Source organism: Homo sapiens, chromosome 1 (assembly GCF_000001405.40).
Source record: "Homo sapiens chromosome 1, GRCh38.p14 Primary Assembly".
NCBI lineage: Eukaryota > Metazoa > Chordata > Mammalia > Primates > Hominidae > Homo > Homo sapiens.
In genome coordinates, this window is record NC_000001.11 from 64,751,187 (window position 1) to 64,770,441 (window position 19,255).

The 19,255-nt window shown below is 37.5% G+C and overlaps 1 protein-coding gene across 3 annotated transcripts in view; it reads left to right on the top strand.

Moving 5' to 3' along the window:
• The window catches only part of RAVER2 (ribonucleoprotein, PTB binding 2), an 88,158-nt gene that overhangs the window by 6,112 nt on the left and 62,791 nt on the right, over positions 1-19,255 (top strand). For all 3 annotated transcript variants that reach the window (NM_001366165.2, NM_018211.4, XM_011541706.3), the window contains exon 2: positions 17,470-17,536. In NM_001366165.2, the coding sequence (NP_001353094.1) occupies positions 17,470-17,536 (67 nt within the window). The remainder of the gene's footprint in view (positions 1-17,469; positions 17,537-19,255) is intronic.

Consider the following 19,255-nt stretch of genomic DNA (forward strand, 5'->3'; position numbering starts at 1 on the left):
GTTTTCACATAGAAAGAATATAGTAGATGGTATTTAGTTTTCAGGTTAGCATTTTAGCCTCTATTTAAGTTATGATTGTTTATTAAGTGTAAGATTACACTAAGTAGTACGACAACATCTAACAAAGCTCCAGCTTTGTGCAGGAGCAGAAACTCTCCCAGCTTCAAATCATCAGTAGGTACTCCTGCATCTTATGGCAAAAGCTCAGGAAGAAGGGAATTTAAGGAAATTGCTCCTTGAATTAACAAGACTCAGATCAGGGAAGCATTAAATGAAGTCAACTCTGATCAAAGGCTGTTACTGCAAAAGGGGTTCCTATTACTAACTACCTGAGTTTTGTCTCTTGATTCTTCTATTTGCACTTATTCTTCTTTCCTTATGGACAAAAAGTTTTTGTTTTTCATTTTTAGATACGGGATGTTGCTATGTTGCCCAGGCTGGAGTGCAGTGGCTATTCACACATTCACAGGCATAATCATAGTGCACTGCACTGTGGCCTCAAGCTCCTGGCCTCAGATCCTGTGCTACCAAGCCCAGCCTTGATTTTTTTAAAATCTTTACTTTATTTTGTAAATTTATTTTTAATTTTTAATTTAATTTTTTTAAAAAAAGCTTTATGCTTAACTTTCCTCGCTCAGCTAAAACAGGCAAACCAAGGAATATTAAAATGTAAATAAAATTATTTATATATTTTTAAATCCTAAAATTGCTTATCATGTGTCTCGGCTGTTTGTATTTTGTTTGCCTAATTACACAATTGCCTGACTCTAAGGAGATAGTATGAACTGAGAGGGGTAATAAGTGAGAAGTCGGAAGATCAGATCACCTAGAACATTTGGCTATACAGTACTGTATATTTTTTGGCTGATGATTATGGGCAGGATAGCCCTTGGTGGTTGTGCTGAATAGCTTCCATTTGCTCTTCCAGATCTATTCTCGACCCTTCTCACCCACTCCTTATCCAGGGAGGCTAACCTGTACTGTGGATTGCACCAACAAGGCTCTCTCTTATCCTCTGTTTTATGGTTGCACTTGGCCAGAGCCACTAGTGGGGGATCAGAGGGTTGAGGAGAGGAGCATTTATTCACCCAGCATTTATTCACAGGTGACTGTGGGTTGGCTGCTTCCTCTTTAAAAGTCGGTTTCTATCCAGTGGCTCCCTCCATACCACCCAGCTCTCCTGGTTATCATAACCATTCTTCTTGTCTCTTTGGGTCCAGGAGGAGTACAGGAATGTTGCTAGCCTAGGATTTCTTCAAATCTTTGTAGATAGTCTCTTTTAAAAGTTCTCCCCAGTTAGTTTCTGAGTGTGCCTTCTGTTACTTGCTGGGGCCCTGATTCTGTTGCCTACTCAGTTGCCTTTCTTCCTCTTGCCTGTCCTAATTACACCCAGATTTCCCCTTGAAGACCTACCTCTTTTTTAGCAACTGTATGATTTGGGTGGATTTCATCTCTATCCCCATCTGTAGGGGTGACATAAACCAAAGAACACAGTTCTTCCCTTTTTCGAGAGGGATTGGTTAAAGACGGGCAATAACCTGGACCAAAGCCCATCAATACATGATAGCCCCTTGGTCATAGTGATTATTTCAGCCTGGCTTAGCAGACAAACTTAGGACTTGTGTTTGGTTGTTAAAGTAAGTGAATCTCTTTCTCTCTGCTGGATATGAATGCAGAGACATATGGCTCTGGCTGCAGCTGACAGTCATTAAGGGAGCAGACATGCAAAGGAGGACTGACCTTGGAGGGGAAATGTAGAGAAGCTGAGCTGGAGCCCTGATCGAACTATATCTGAAGCTTAACCTGCCTCTGGACTTCATATATATGCAAGCCACTAAATCCCTTTTATTGTTTCACTTATTTCAAGTTGGATCTTTTGTTACTACCAACCAATAGTATCCCAGATTAACAGGTTGGAGTACAGTGGCACAATCATGCCTCACTGCAGCCTCGACCTTCCTCGCTCAAGCAATCCTTCTACCTCAGTCTCCTGAGTATCTGGGACCACAGATGCATATAACCATGCTGGCTAATATTTTGAATTTTTTTCTAGAGAGGGGATTTTGCCATGTTGCTCAGGCTGGTCCCAAACTCCTAGGCTCAACCAATCTGCCCTGCTTGGCCTCCCAAACTGTTGGGATTATAGGTGTAAGCCACCATGTCTGGCTTTTTTTAAAAAAAATATTTTTGTTTCAAAGAAATCCCCACAAATAAGGTATCCTATTCCATCTTCAGACAGCTTTCTTTGTTATAAAGGTCTTATTTATGTGTAATATATACAATGTATTCACTTGAAGTCTTGATCCAACGTCTACCCTCTGGCAATGTATAGAATTCTTTTTTTTTTTTTTTTTTTTTGGAAACGGAGTCTCACTCTGTTGCCCAGGCTGGAGTGATCTCGGCTCACTGCAACTGTAACCTCCGCCTCCCAGTTTCAAGTGATTCTCATGCCTCAGCCTCCCGAGTAGCTGGGATTACAGGCGCCCGCCACCACACCTGGCTAATTTTTGTATTTTTAGTAGAGACAGGGTTTCACCATGTTGGTCAGGCTGGTCTCAAACTCCTGACCTTGTGATCTGCCCACCTCGGCCTCCCAAAGTGCTGGGATTACAGGCGTGAGCCACCGTGCCCGGCCTCTCATTTTTAACTTATAACTTAAATTCCTTCAAATGACTAGTTTTTAGGACATGATTCCAAGTTTCCTCGCCATCTCATTTATTTTTCTCTGAATACACATCATTACCACTTTGTCATTGTATCTTTTAAAATATGGTACCCAAAATTGAGTATGGTAGTCTAGTTGAGATCTCCCTGTAATCCCCAGCCAGAACAAATTTCTCTTTCCTCTGGATGTCTATAATAATAATAACCTTTGTTTTTTGGGGGCCTACCATTGCCAGGCACCATACTTAGAGTTGTTTAATATTATATTTAATCCTCATTTTAAGACTATAAGATTGGAATTTCTTATTCCCATTTGATTGCTAGAGAAACAAAGATGCAAAATTAATGTCAAACAATTTGCCCAAGATCATTCAGCTAATTGGTGGTAGAGTGGAGAACCAATTCTGTTTGATTCCAAAGCTTATATCCTTATCTCCCATTGTATTATAATTCCTCTCTATGCAGCTATATTGTTAGTGTTTCAAAGGGCAAGGATCATGTTGTGTTTACCTTTGTATCCTCAACCTGTAACCTAGAAACTGACACATTGTTTGAAGAGAAATGTAAAAGAAGCGGACTACCCACCTACCTTGTTCTAAAATGCTATATTTCCATTGAGACGTCTGACCCCCGGCACACTCTCAGGATTGATTTGTTAATAAATTTTGCAATGTACCACTCTGTTAGCTTTTTTGGCAGGGAACTCTCTCCATTCACTTATAATTATTCAATCAGTCAACTGTTTATGGCTTAAGAGTCTGTTGAAAGCTGTAAACCCTCCAAGAAAGTGCTAATATTCATAAGCACACAAAATTTGCATATTATTTCAAGGGGGTATGGATCTCTTATAGCTTATCCCTGATTTCATTAGGGGATTGTAGACCCTAGGTTGAAAAGTGCTGTTGCAGGTCAACAAAATTTTAGTCATGTCTTTGGGACTTTACCTGAGTAGGGACCATTTGGGCAGATCCAAAGCTGTTGCTTCAGTAGAGTTTTCATCAGAAACTTCTGTAGGCCACGTTTATGCATGAGGGTTTGGGTAGTGATCCTTTATCTGGGCAAGAATATAAATCAGGCTCAATAATTTTCTTTTTAAACAAATCAACCATGCGACTTCATGTTTGATGCAAAAGCTTATTGCTCTCTAGTCACTCAGCAGCCCACAACTGACATTTTAGGTTCTGTGCCTGGCCCAGAGTGGATGCTCAACAAAGTAAATTTTTAAAGAGGTTTTCAAGAAGTTACAATGTAATATTTCCTCCTTAACATTTATTAAAAGTCAAACATTGATACAAAGAATGTTTTTCTTTAAAACAAATCAAGAATATTATCCATTCTGTTTAATGTCTTCACAATAAGTATCCTGATTTCTTAGTAAGAAAATAAGTTTCTCTTTTGTTAGATTTTAGGGGTGCAACTCATTGTGAGCCCCTAAACTTGTCTTCTAGGTATTTGGAGCTTAATTTTATGTTTATTTACTACTGTTATCTTTAGGTTTGTAAACTTATTTCCCACTTCCCTATGTTAAGGCATTTTCTTTGTGTGTTTGAGACTTACTGTTTAACTTTTATTTCCATATGAATGCCAAAAATAGCATTAGATTCATTGAAATTTGTTTGACTCTGTATTTGTACATGCTTTCATTGTCTCTCTTCCTGCTACTCTCTCCTGCCCCTACCGTACCCCACCCTATCTGCTCTACCCTTAGACAATTGCTTTTTATATCTTTCCTCAACCCACTGCAGTGATTATCTGCTCTTAGTTCCTGGCTTGCCTTTATTTCCTGGACTTTGGATATTCTATTACCCTACCAGTTTAACTACTTGCTTTCGATTCCAAAGTAATCTCCATTTCTCTGACTTTATGCTTCATAGTTTTTTTTTTTTTTTTTTTTTTTTTTTTTGTAGCCAGAACTAGAGTAGAAAGTGATGGCAATAAGCAAGAACATGTGAATCTGGGAAGTTTTACACTTTGAAATAATCTCAGACTTACAGAAATGTTTTAAGTATAGCGTAAAGAATGTTTTCCCCCTGAACTGTTGGAGAGTGCTGACCCAATGCCCAACCACCCTGAATACTTTATTATGTATGTCCTACAAACTAGGACAACTTCCAACATAACTGCAATGCTACCCTCAAAGTCACACTACTGCCTCCCAGTCCTCAGATGCATTTAAGCTTTGGCAGTTGTCCCATCAATGTCCTTTACAGTGAAAGAATTCAGTTCAGATCATATATTGCACTTTTTGTAGAATGTCTTTCAATTTTGGTTCGTATGGTGTTCCTTCATGATTAGAGTCAAGTTTTATGTCTTTAGCAGGAACATCACAAGGTGGTACATGTTTTACATTTGTCCTATTGTTGATAAAGTTCACTTTGATCACTTTGATTCCCTTTGATTAAAGTGGTATCTGCCAGGCATCTCCATGTAAAGTTTTCTGCTTGTAATCTATAAGGATTTTGAGGGGAAATTCTTTGAGACTGTTTAAATATCCTATTCCCCTTCAAGCATTCAGTTTATTCATTTATTTATGGCAATATAGGCTCATGGTTTCCTATTTAGTTCAATGGGTTATGCTGCATTCCTACTACCATTACTTATTTCGATGCTTTGTTTTAGATTTGGAGAGTGGGAGCTTCAAATTGGCCCCTGTGTCTTCTTATTGAATAAGCTTTTTATTTTGGGGTGATTTTAGATTAGCAGAAAAAGTTGCAAAGATAACACATAGAGTTCCCATGTATCCCTTACCCAGTTTCCCCTGATGTTACATCTTATACAACCAATGTACATCAGTCAAAACTTAGAAATCAACACTGGCATATTATTTTAACTAAATTACAGACTCTATTTTAGATTTCATTAGTTTTTTCACTTAAGTTCCATGATTCAGTCTGAGATACATAATTGCATTTAGTTATCCTATCTCCTTAGTCTCCATTCTGTTACAGTTTCTCAGTCTTTTCTTGTTGTCTATGACCCTGATGGTTTTGTTTGGGTATCTTTTAGAATGTCTCTTAATTTGGGTTTGTAGGAGGTTTTTCCTCAAGATAAGATTGGGGTTATAGGTTTTGGGGAAGAATACCACAGAGGTGAAGTAGCTTCTGATGACATCATATCAGGGGGTACATGACATTAACATGACTTACCACTGGTGATGTTAACCTTGATCATTTGCTTAAGGGGATGTCTGCTAAGTCACTCCTCTGTAAAGATACTATTTTTCCCATTCACTATTCTTTGGAAATAATACATTAATTCCAGCATACACTTAAGGGAAGGGTCCTATGTCCTTTTGACGTGTCCCCAGCATTCACTGAGTATGTCCTTTGTTTTCAACACAACAGGACATTGCAGCTTATTTTGTAGTTTCTGTGCTCCAGCCCTAGAATCAGCCATTTCATGAAGGTGCCTATTTTAGACTGAATGTTTGTGTCTCTCTCCAAATTGATATGTTGAAGCCCCAACCCCCAGTGTTACTATATTTGGAGATGGGGCCACTAAGGAAGTAATTAAGATGAAATGAGGTCATAAGGGTGGGTTCCTGATCTGATAGGATTAGTGTCCTTATAAGAAGAGATAGCAGAGAACTTGGTCTCTCCACTCATACACCAAGGAAAGGCCATGTGAGGACATAGTGATAACGTGGCTGCCTGCAAGCCAGCCAGAAATTGAATCAGCTGGAACCTTGACTTGGACTTCTGGCTTCCAGAAATGTGAGGAAATAAATTTCTGTTGTTTAAGCCACTCAGTCTGTGGTAGTGTGTTAGGGTAGCCTGAGCTGACTATTACAGTGCTTAGTTTCTTTTAGGGGGAAAATGCTACCTAGAAACCAAGATCTGGAAACTAGCTATACTCATTGCCATTGGGTGTCAGTGCTCTCAGGTCCTCTTAGTAGACAAAGCTAGAGAATATATAAATGTGTGTATATGCACACACACAAACACTTATATTTCTATTGAAAGTAATGTGTTCATACCAATACATTAAATTTTAATCATTCCAGTTTTCTCCCATTCTGTATTTGTGACTCTTTCATCTGAAGTGAAAAGTTTGGTGTTCATTATCCTTATTTTATTTACTTATTTGATCAACCCCATTTACATAGGCATCTCCCATCACCGCTGCAGATGCTTGCCCCATTCCCCCCACAGATACCCACTTCACCCAATTCAGGCTCCATCCTCCTGCACTGGGTTTCTCTAGTAGCTGGAAGGCACCATCACCTTGCCTGGGTTCTGACACTCTGCTGGCTTCCTTCATGTACAGTGCCCTCCTCACCATGTTTGAGCTTTGAAACCTAAGATACTAAGTTAAGATATTTTGTGTGAAGTACATGTAAGTGTACAGTAAATGCTATCTATTATTTGTGCAATTGTGATAGCCACAGTTCTAAAAATGGTCCCCCATATTTTCTACCATAATCCATGGGACTTTGACTATAATGAGGTATCACACTGTGATTATGTTAAATGGCAAAAAGGGACTTTTTTGCAGGTGTAATTAAGGTTACTAATCAGTTGATTTAGGGTTACACAAAACAGAGATTATCTAGGTGGGCCCAATCTAATCACATGTGCCCTTTAAAAGCAGAGCATTTTCTTGGGCTGGAAGCCTTAGGGGAAATTCGAGGATTGAAGCACAAGAAAGACGTGATTCGCTGTTTGTTGCTGGGTCTGAAGATGGAGTGGGCATGGGCAAGGATGTTAAAGCAGTTTCTAGGAGCTGAGAGGGTCTTCAGCTGACAGCCAGCAAGAAAATAGGGACTTCAGTCCTAATACCACAAAGAACTAAATTCTGCTAACTACCTTAGTGAGTGGAAATGTATTCTTCCTTAGGGTCTCCATATAAGAGCCTAGCTTGCCTGACACCTTGATTTGGCCTTGGGAGACCCTAAACAGAAAACCCAATGGGGCCTGCCTGGACTTATGATCTACAGAACTATGAGAGAATAATAGGTATTGTTTTAAGCAACTTAATTTGGAGTCATTTGTTGCACAATAATAGATAACTAATACAGTATATCCAGGTGATATTTGAAAGAAAAATATTTAAATATTTAATATTTACATATTAAATATTTAAATATTGGAGGAGAGATTGTGATTTATGTATGGTTATTCTTTGGATGGATGACTATCTAAATCTATCTCTTGAAGATTAAAGCCCTCTTTCTTGGGATGTCTGCAAGCAAAAACTGCTCAAGGAGAACCTTTTATAGTTAGATATGTAATGTTAATTAATTTGAGCTATGTAAGTATTTTCTTTTGAAGAAGTGAGTTACAAATTAGGTTAGTGTACAGTAAGTATATTTTCAGGTGTAAGTATATTTTCAGGTTTTTTATTTTTTATTTTTATTTTTATTTATTTTATTTTTATTTTTATTTTTGGAGACGGAGTCTTGCTGTTTTGCCCAGGCTGGAGTGCAGTGGCGCGATCTTGGCTAAGTGCAACCTCCGCCTCCCGGGTTCATGGCATTCTCCTGCCTCAGCCTCTGGAGTAGCTGGAACTACAAGGCGCCCGCCACCACGCCCGGCTAATTTTTGTATTTTTAGTAGAGATGGGGTTTCACCGTGTTAGCCAGAATGGTTTCGATCTCCTGCCCTTGTGATCCGCCCGCCTCGGCCTCCCAAAGTGCTGGGATTACAGACGTGAGCCACCGCGCCCGGCCTATTTATTATTTTTTTGAGACGGAGCTTCGCTCTAACGCCCAGGCTGGAGTGCAGTGGCGCGATTTCGGCTCACTGCAAGCTTTGCCTCCCGGGTTCACGCCATCTTCCTGCCTCAGCCTCCCGAGTAGCTGGGACTACAGGCGCCCGCCACCACGCCCGGCTAATGTTTTATATTTTTAGTAGAGACTGGGTTTCACTGTGTTAGCCAGGATGGTCTCGATCTCCTGACCGCATGATCCACCCGCCTTGGCCTCGCAAAGTGCAGGGATTAGAGGTGTAAGCCACCGTGCCCGGCCTATTTTCAGGTTTTTTGAGCACTCTAAACATATTGGTTTATGTTAATGTCGTAAAATAATCTCAGAAAAAAAGATGCAGCATTAGAGTTGATAAAGGTAATCTATGGAAACAAAATGTCATATATTTAACAAATATCAAAGGTCTACTTTCTGCTAGATATTGTGCTGGATGTTGGAGATCTGTTTATGCATGAGGCAGATATGTGATACTTGCCTACAATCTTATGAAAATTATAAGCATATAAGCAGTTAAAATATGGATGATAGCTGCTGTAAGGGTTGTGATGTGGAAAAAAAAAAAAAAAAGCCTGTGGAAACACAGATATCTAATCCAGACTTGAGAGGTTCAGTGGCTGGAGTCACATGGCCACAGCCTAAGTCACATGCTGGGAAGCTACTTGTTGGGAAGGCTGAGAAATATAGTTGTTATTGGGCAGCCCTGTGTTCAGCTATATGTTCTCTCACGTTAGAAAGAGAGCAGTCTGTGCCTTTCTTTCCAAACCCTTCTCCCAAGGGAGACAACCCCAGATCAACTTCAGAGTCCAGAATCTCTGGGTGATGTATGTTTCAGGAACCTTTAGTTTAAGACAGAGAAAGTCACCTGAGTCCTGGGGAGAGAGATGGTAGCTAACGGAAAGAAGGGGAAGAAAGGGATGTAGAACATCCATGGCATTAGTAACAAGATGTACCAAGACCTAAAGACAAGGAAAAGCGTGGCCAAAATTAGTTCACTGTGGCTGAGGCATAGAGTTTGATAGGGTTAGTGGTAAAATATAGGGCTGGCACATTTAGCATTACTAGATGATTGAAAGTGTATAGGGCATGTTAGGGAATTTGGATTTTATTTAATGGGATATATTTAAACAAGGGAGTGATGCAATGAGATTTCTACCTGTCAGAAAGTAAAATTATATTGTTTTTGCTTTTACCTCCAAGGAATTTGCATGGTAGACATCCCAAATGTTGTTCTTGGCCCCAATTCCCATTCTAAGATTAGGAGGCCAGTGATGCAGTGAGCTTTAGGAATGTGATGGGAATGAATATTTTATAGATTTTGTTTTTGTAATGGCAATTCTTAAGGTACACCACTGTATAGTTGTGTTTGCTGTAGAGTCTGTCAACTGGGTTTGAATCACAGCTGTGTCACAAACTGTCTGTACAAGTCACTTAGTTTTTCTAGGCCTCAATGTTCTCATCTTTAAAATCTGGATGATAAAATCCAGCTTTAAAATCAAATTCTTAAGGTTGTTAGGATTAAATGAGATAATGTCTATAAAGTGCCTGGGATAAAGTAAATAATCAGTAAATGATTGTTTTTTATACTGCCAATAAAAAGCTGAAAGTTTATTAATTTATTTTAGGCCAAGTCAAAATGTGCTCCTGGCAAAAAGTTGGTATTGAAACGAACTTTCCAGCCAAAACCCTGCATTGAAAGCAGTTAAAAATTTAGCCAAGATAAAATTGATACCACATCCACTCAGCCAACATCATATATGATAGGACTGCGTTGGGCCCCCCCCAAAATTCATTGTCTGGTGTGGGACATCCAAATGCAGTTTCAAAAGAGGGAGAAGGGAATATATAGGCTTGGAGCTTGGGAGAGAAGTTTGAAATGGAAGTAAGAGTTTGGAGATTAACTATCATGAAGATGAGATTTAACTCATCTCAATGGGTGCAGAAAAAGCACTTTATAAAATTTAACACTCATACATCGTAATACTTACAGCAGGCAGGAATAGAGAAGAATTTCTTCAGACATAAAGATTATCTAGAAAAGCCAAAAGCAATCATATTCAATGGTGAAATGTTGACAGCTTTCTTTCTGAGATTAGGAACAATACAGGGATCACTGCTATTCAAGACTGTATTGGAATTCCTAGCTAACACAATACACCTAGATAAATAAAGTTTAAAGATATAAAAAAAGATGTAAAACTGTCTATTTGCAGATAACATGATTGTGTATATAGAAAATAAAAAAGAATCTATAAATAAGCTATTAGAAATAAGTGGGCCAGGCACGGTGGTTTACGCCTGTAATCCCCGGACTTGGGGAGGCCGAGGCAGGTGTATTGCTTGAGCCCAGGAGTTTGAGACCAGCCTGGGCAACATAACCAAAACCCTGTCTCTACCAAAAAAAAAAAAAATTAGCTGGGCCTAGTGGTGGCACATGCCTGTAGTCCCAGCTACTCAGGAGGCTGAGGTGGGAAGATCACTTGAGCCTAGGAGGTTGATAATAATTAAATGAATTTACTAAGATTGATACTTGTAAGGTCAATGTACAAGTATAAATGATATTTCTGTATACTAGCAATTGCTAGAAAATTAAATGTCAAATTTTAAAAATAGACTTCAAATAACATCAAAAATGTCAAATGCAATTTAAAAAATCTGATAAAAATATGCGAAATCTCTACACTGAAGACTATAAATATTTCAGAGAAGAATTTAAGAAGACCTAAATAAATGGAAGAACATTCCACATTTGTGGATTGGAAGACTCAGTATCATTTAGATGTCAGTTGTTCCCAAACTGATCTATAGTGTCAATGGAATCCACTCAAAATCCTAGTAGGTTTTTTTTTTAATGAAAACTGATTCTAAAATTTGTACAGAAATGCAAGTGACCTGGAATAGCCAAGATACTTTTGAAAAAAAAAAAACTTGGAAGACTTACACTACCAGATTTCAAAGCTTACTATAAAGCTCAAATAATTTGTTCAGTGTGATATTGGTACAGTGACTAGACAAGTACACTAGTGGGACAGAATAGAGTCCAGAAATTAACCCACAGAATATAGCAACTCAGTAGTAGAAAGAATAGTCTTTTCAACAGATGATGCTAGGGCAGTTTGATATTCAAATCAAAAAAATTGAACCTTGACCCCTACCTAATACCACTTAGAAATATTCTATTAAGATGGCTTATAGTCTAAATGTAAATGTTAAGACAATAAACATTCCAGAAGAAAAGATAGATCAGTGTCTTCATGACCTTGGGTAGGTAAAGATTTCTTAAAGAGGTCACAAAAGGCATTAACCAGAAAAGAAGATATTATATGATAGATGGGACTTTGGCAAAATTAATGTCTTCTTATCAAAAAGACATTACTAATAAATCAGTAGGCAAACCACAGGCTAGATGAGGATATTTGCAATACCAATATTTGACAAAGGAGACTGATATCCAGAATTTATAAATTCTGCAAGTTGACTGGGCACAGTGGGTCACGCCTGTAATCCCAGCACTTTGGGAGGCCAAGGCGGGCAGATCATGAGGTCAGGCGATCGAGACCATCCTGGCTAACACGGTGAAACTCCGTCTCTACTAAATATACGGGTGAGGTGGCTGGCGCCTGTAGTCCCAGCTACTCAGGAGGCTGAGGCAGGAGAATGGTGTGAACCAGGGAGGTGGAGCTTGCAGTGAGCCGAGATCATGCCACTGCACTCCAGCCTGGGCGACAGAGCGAGACTCCATCTCAAAAAAAAGAAAAATTCTACGAGTTAATAAAAAAGATAACCCAGTTAAAAATAGATGAAAGATTACAACAGGCATTTCACAAAAAAGGAATATCCAAATGGCATATTAAAAGGTCAGTAATATCATTATAAGTCAAAGAAATACAAATTAAGGCCATAGTTGGATACACCATTCCCACCAGAATGGCCAAAATTAAAAGACAGGCAAGACCAGGTGTTGGCTAGAAAGTAGAGCAATTGGCACTCATATTCTGCCAATAAGTGTGCAAATTGGTTACAGATTTTTGGAAAACTGGGTGTGTCTCTTAAGGATAAACATATACCAGCCGGACATGGTGGCTCACGCCTGTAATCCCAGCACTTTGGGCGGCTGAGACGGGCGGATCACCTGAGGTCAGGAGTTCAGGACCAGCCTGGCCAACATGGAGAAACCCTGTCTCTACTAAAAAAAACAAAAATTAGCTGGGCATGGTGATGGGCACCTGTAATCCCAGCTACTCCAGAGGCTGAGGCTGGAGAATCACTTGAACCCAGGAGGTGGAGGTTGCGGTGAGCCGAGATCACACCATTGCACTCCAGCCTGGACGACAAGAGTGAAACTCCATCTCAAAAAAACAAAAATACACACACACACACACACACACACACACACACACACACCCCTACCATGTAATTTAGCAATTCTACTCCTTAGTATATTCTACTCAGCAATTATACTCCCAGCTTCATTCTTGATAGCCCCAAACTAGAAACAGTTCAAATTCCCATCAACAGGAGATGAGTTACATTGTTGTATATTCCAAAATGAATATTGTACAGCAATAAAAAAGAGGATTTGTTTTGTCAGATATCAATGTTTATAAAGCTTTATTTAGGACAGTATAATATTAGCACAGAATAGGCAAAATGTCCAATAGAACCAGAAGCAAGAGACAAAAATATCCATGTATATCTTGGAAGTTGATATATGAGAGAGACAGCCCTGCAGATCATTGAGGAAAAGATGGACAATACAATTATGGTGTCCTAATAGTTGATTACCCATATAGGAAAAAAAAAAACTATTTTCCCATATGGGAAAAGGGAAAAAAAAACAGCACACAAAAATGAACTCCAAACTCACTAAAAACTGAAATGTAAATGGAAAAAATTTAGAATGATTGAAAGATGAAATAAGATCCCTTTATGACCTTGTTTAGGAAAGGACTTCTTAAGCCACAAAAAGCCTACATTTTAAGGAAAAAGATTGATAAATTTGATATTATTAAAATGAAAAACTTCTCTTCACCCAAAATCCCACAAATAAACACAATGACTCATCACACTGTAGGAGAATACACTCATAATACAGTTAACAACAAAAGGTGAGAATCCAGAATATATTATTTTAAGGATTTGGTTCACAAGACTGTGGAGGCTGGCAAGTCCAAAATGTGTAGGGCATGCCAGCAGGCTGGAAACTCAGGCAGCTGTTAATGCTGTAGTCTTGAGGCAGAACTTCTACAGGAAACTTCACTTCTTGCTCATAAGGCCTTCAACTGATTGGATGAAGTCCTCCTCTCCCCAACATTATATAAGATAATCTCCATTACTCAAGTCAACTGATTATAGATATTAACCACATGTACAAAATACCTTCATAGCAACACCTATATTAGTGTTTGATTAAATAACTGGACACTGTAGCTAAATTGACACATAAAACTAATAATCACAATGCCCTACATTGTTTATTAATCATGTAATGGAAATTAAGGCCACAATGAGACACAATTTTATATCCATTAAATTGACACAACTTAAGTCTGATAACACCAAGCATTGAAAGGAGTGGATCAGCAGGACTTTTATCTACTGTTGATGGGACTGTACACTGGTACATCATTCTGGCAAACAAGTTGGCACTTCCTCATAAAGTTGATCATATGCATACGTACACCACAGGAATTTCTCTCCTTGAGGAGCTCTTGCACATGAATGCAAGGGGATAAGTGAAATTTACAAGAATGTTATGGTAGTTTTTTAAAAATTCAAACAGTGAACAACAACCTGGAAACAAACCAAATAATCAGTCATAGTAAAATGGATACATAAATTATACTATAGTCACAGAATGGCATAGCAAACAGCAGTGAATAAATGAATGACAGCCAGGTGGAATGAGTGAATTTTAGAAACATAATATTGAGTCTAAGAATCAAGGCACAGAAGTTTAAAAATAGCATAATACCAATTTTATAAAACTCACAAATGAGTAATACAAAACAATATAATGTTTGGGGCCACATGCCTACATACAGATACAGACCTACATGTGAGGAGGAAGGTGGAGGAATGGGATAGTGAAGGAATGCAGAGGTGGATGCAAATGTCAGTGTTCTCGTCAAGTTTGGTAGTGAGTTTCTGGGTATTTATTTTGTTTATTACTACTCATAATATATGTTTGGTGTTTGGTGTTTCATCTTTTCATTTTATCAAGTTACATAAAATTTTAAAAGAAAATGAACAAAAACGTGCTTCCATTTCCAGTCCAAAGCACTGAAATTTAAAAGTAGTGTTTTTTAATCTATGAAAACATTTCTTAAAACATTTTTTTAAAAACTGAAACTAAGTCTGTGAAGAGCTTAGAAGACAATGTAATTCAGGTTTATAACTAAGGCCATGCTTCATCAAGGAGGTCTAGATCAGCTGGAACAATGGTTAACTTTTTTGTTGAGGGTGGGGTGATGACGTCATTGACTGACTGCTTTGCCATGGAAGCTATTGATCGTCTCTCCAGAAAGCATTTCATATGTGCAAAACTTGTCACTTCAGCAGGTGACACTGAATCTGGTATGGAAATAGTTTACTAAAGCTATCTAATACCAATTTTTATTAACTTAACTTGACATTGGCAGTCAGATGACAAAGTGTTTTCATCAAAGGTGCTACTTTATTCCTTAAAATCAGTAAGTTAGTGGAAATGTTATAAAGCTAAGTTAGTATAGGGAGGCTCTAATTTTAGTCCTTTTAGTTCTGTGTGATGGAGCATAGAATTATTTTGGCAAATGGTTATTGGGACTCTCTTTCAGGTTTTAAGTTTTTAATTTGGCCAACTTACCAAGGCTCAAATTGAGGGATGACCCACTTTTGCCTGGGTCAAAGCAACCAGGGCATGGAGAAAAATAATTGGGTTTTTCTTTGTAGGAAGCTTTGTAAGGTTTCGCAGTTGGCAAACTCTGTATCCCACATCTGATACATAGAAGAGCTATGAGTAGAGATATGGGTGTTTTCAACATAACATTTCTAAGTTGCAAAATGCACCTTTGAATACTTAAGCTCTCTTAGGTAATTCTCTTAGCTGAATGAGTAACATAACATGTCATTTGTTTACAGATACTTGATAATGTGAAGAGCAGTATCATGTTTTCTTTATCTAGCATTTGATGGCTGTTAACCAGTGAAATGAGAGATTAGATTCTATGCAACTAAAAGCACACACTGGATCCCTTCAAAAAAACCGTGTCACCTTCTATATAAAGTATTAAATTCGTTGATTGGCAAGATGCATATGTTATGCTGCTGAGACAGTGATGTTTTCTTATTGAAGAGTACAGTAGATGTTTTTGTAAGTTCAAGAAAATGTTGAAGCTTACAAGATAAAAATTACCATAGTAATATGTAAACTAATCTTTATAATTGAGCATAGTACCATATGATTCACCAAATGCTATTTTACAAAATTGGTAAGTGTATGTATTTTAAAAAATTTCTAATACTGGTTGGTAATAAAGAATACTAAATTATCAACTTTATCTTTCATATCATAGAGGATTACCTTTTTTCACTCAGCTTTGTTTTCATGCTTTGCCTATTATATCACTCTTTTCTCCCTCTTGGGTTGGATTAAAAGGGAGAATATTTTTCAACTTCTGTCTTCTTATTTATTATCCATTTCTATATTACTCATATGATTACTTATTAGGGCACTCGTGGTATTGTTTTTATAACTGTTAATGATAGTGTACTGTTTTTAAAGTTAATGCTGGAATGAATAAGTCAATATGGCATAGAGGTTGAGTGTCATCCTTGGAGCCAGACAGATAGAGTGAATCTCCTCTCAGCAAGTGACTAGCTATATGTCCTTGGCAACTTTACTCTGTTTTTCCTGATTTTTAATAAAAGTGAATTCAGTGCCTGATACCTTGTGATAACTATAATAATAGCAATAATAAGATTATTATTGAATTCAGCATTTTAGGTTACATACTTAACATAATAGCACCTGTGTATATTTAGCATATTCATTTGCAGTATAGAACAGGTTGGCTGTAACTCTCTAATCTGGAGTCAGAATGTCTACCTGTGTGAGAGTCTAGTTCCTTTGAATATATTGTAACTGCATCTGTTATGTATTATGAGTAAAATTTTTCAGGGCCACATATTGATTTAACAACGAAACAATTATATTCACTCTAATGTATGTTTGAGTGCCTACGATATGCAAAGCAATGCAAGTAGTATATAAATATGTAAAATGCAGTTTCTGTTTCTAAGTACCATCAGTCTAACAGAAAGGATTAGGGAAATAGAGGAAATCTACTCTTTTGGGCACCCAAGTGGATAGAGGTTGTGCTATCAGAAAAAAAAAGTTTAGGCTATGTTAATAATAGAAGCAGAATGAACCATAAACCAGTTTAAACATCTTGGGGAGCCAAGGGGAAATAAATGGAACTGCATGCTATGCCTTAGTAGTTAGTTTTTTTCATATCCAGGGATCTCTAAGCTCAGGTTTACAATCTATTTTATTTTTATTTTTTTACAATTTATTTTTTCTACGTTTGTGCTCTAAGCATCTACAGGTGTATTACTTGTTAAAAGCTCTATAGCATGCAGAAATAGAAATAAGTATAATACTTATTTCCACAAGAGAGGCATAAATAAAGTTATGACCATTGTTAGCATAAAGGTGGGAGAGGTCACATTCTGTGGAAAATTATGAGAAGCAACTTCATGAAAGAACATTTGAGCTGAGATTTCATAAAGATGCATGTGATTTCAGGCAAAGTTTGGGAAATTTAGTGATATGTTTGCCTCCTGCTACGTCAAGGAATAAGTGTGAGTAGAAAGAGAACAGTGCATGGTATACTTGTGAGATAGTGAATCTTCCATTTGAGCAGGAATGTGGGCTTTGTGTAGGATGTCTGGGGAATCTGGAAGACCTTTAATTTAAGTAAGTAATGGGGATCCATGAAATAATTTTTTTTTTTTACATGGGACATGGTGGTGGTAATGGTGGTGGTGGTGGTAGGCTAATAGAGCTAGATTATCTAGTAACTGCATTTGTATGTTTACTGAATTCGTGTTTTTTTCTCTTTCAGGAAGTTCATGATTTGTTAAAAGACTATGACTTAAAATATTGTTATGTGGACAGAAATAAACGAACAGGTAAGATTTCTATTCTAAGTGTCTAATTTCATTTTGATTCTCCCTGTACTCGTTATAGAACAAAAAAGCTCAGTGTCTTTTCATGCTTAAGCTAATCATGGAATTTTTAAGCCTTAAATCATTCGAATGTAACCCACACTGTCTATTTTCTGAAGGTAATATTGGTATCCTAAATATTAATTGCATAAATGAATATAGTGTTACTAGAGACTTATGAATTTTTATAATGAATGTTCTGTTACAGTGAATGTTCTTCATAGGCTCAGAGTTCCTCGATTTTAATTGTATGTTACTGGACTTAGTGAATAGACTGTATGACTTGACCTTTAGCTGGGGAAATTGAGAAACTCATTTAGGTTTTCTGGGTATTAGTTTTATATCTGTGAGATTAAAAAACTAGATTATTTCCTTTTTGTGCATGTAATATGCAGCTGTTTAAAAGCATCCTTTTGAGACTAAAAATAAATTATGGAGGATAATGTAATTACTATGTACACATCCACTCCCAAATTATCAAATGGTAATATTTTGTCTTTACAAAGTATGTACATAGCTAGAGCCCTCATGTAGATCTGTTGAATTTCTTCAGATTCAAAAAAAATGGTAAAAAGGAACATTACAGATAAAGATGAAATTCACTTTCTACTACTCTGATTCCATTCCCTCCCAGCCTCCTTGTCTAGGGGCAGGCACTGATGAATTTGGTGCATATTTTCCAATTTATGCAATTACATTTTGATAGCCATTAAAGCTGTTCACAAATTCTTGTTCTTTTTCTTCTGAGCACAAGGTAAGATAGTACTTACCTGTGCCTCTTTGAAGTTGAGAGTGGACTTGTGATTTGCTTGTTGATGAATGAAGTGAGAGTGAAAATGACATGTATCCCTTCCAGGTGAAAGATTTCAGAGCCAGCATGTGATTTCCTGCTCACACTTCCCTGTGCTAAAGTAATTGGGGAAGTAACAGAACCTCTTTCAACCTAGGTCTCAGAGTGACTATAATGAGCAAAACGTCCTTCCTTCCTTACCTTCAGCATGGGATATGCAGCATGAATCAGAAGAAAGCCTTTTGTTTTGTTATGCCATTGAGATTGTGCAGAAGTTTGTTACCACAGTATCTTGACTAACCTATAATTTTACCATATGTGCCTATATATAATTAATGGTAGTCTCTGTTTTAAACTTTTCATAAATGGCATTCTAATGTATATTTCATTTAGCAACTTGCTTTTTTTGGGTTAACGCAACATTGTTTTTCAGATCTTTCCACATTGATATATATAACTCAGGTTCATTGATTTAAGCTACTACATGTAATTATCATGTGAATTTATTACGATTAATGTATTTGTTACTGACTGGCATTCAGGAAGCTTTACCTTTCCCAGTATTTCAAACAGTGATGCAATGAATAGCCTTTTAGTTGATTACTAATATACATTTCAACTGTTTCTCCATAACTGAAGCTCTGAGTCATAGGTGTGCACAATTTCAATGTTACAGATATTGACAACGGGATTAGAGGTAACAGCCTTCACAGCTCACATAGAGCCAGGAATAGTGCTATTCCCACTAGTCAGGATGATAAACCTCATAATTCATGGGGCATTAGAAGTAATAATCAGAAAGTTTTTGCTCAGGAATGGGGAAAAGTAACTCAAGACCAATGATGCTCTTGTCCTACCTAACAAAACTTAAAAACAAGACCAGAACGGATCAA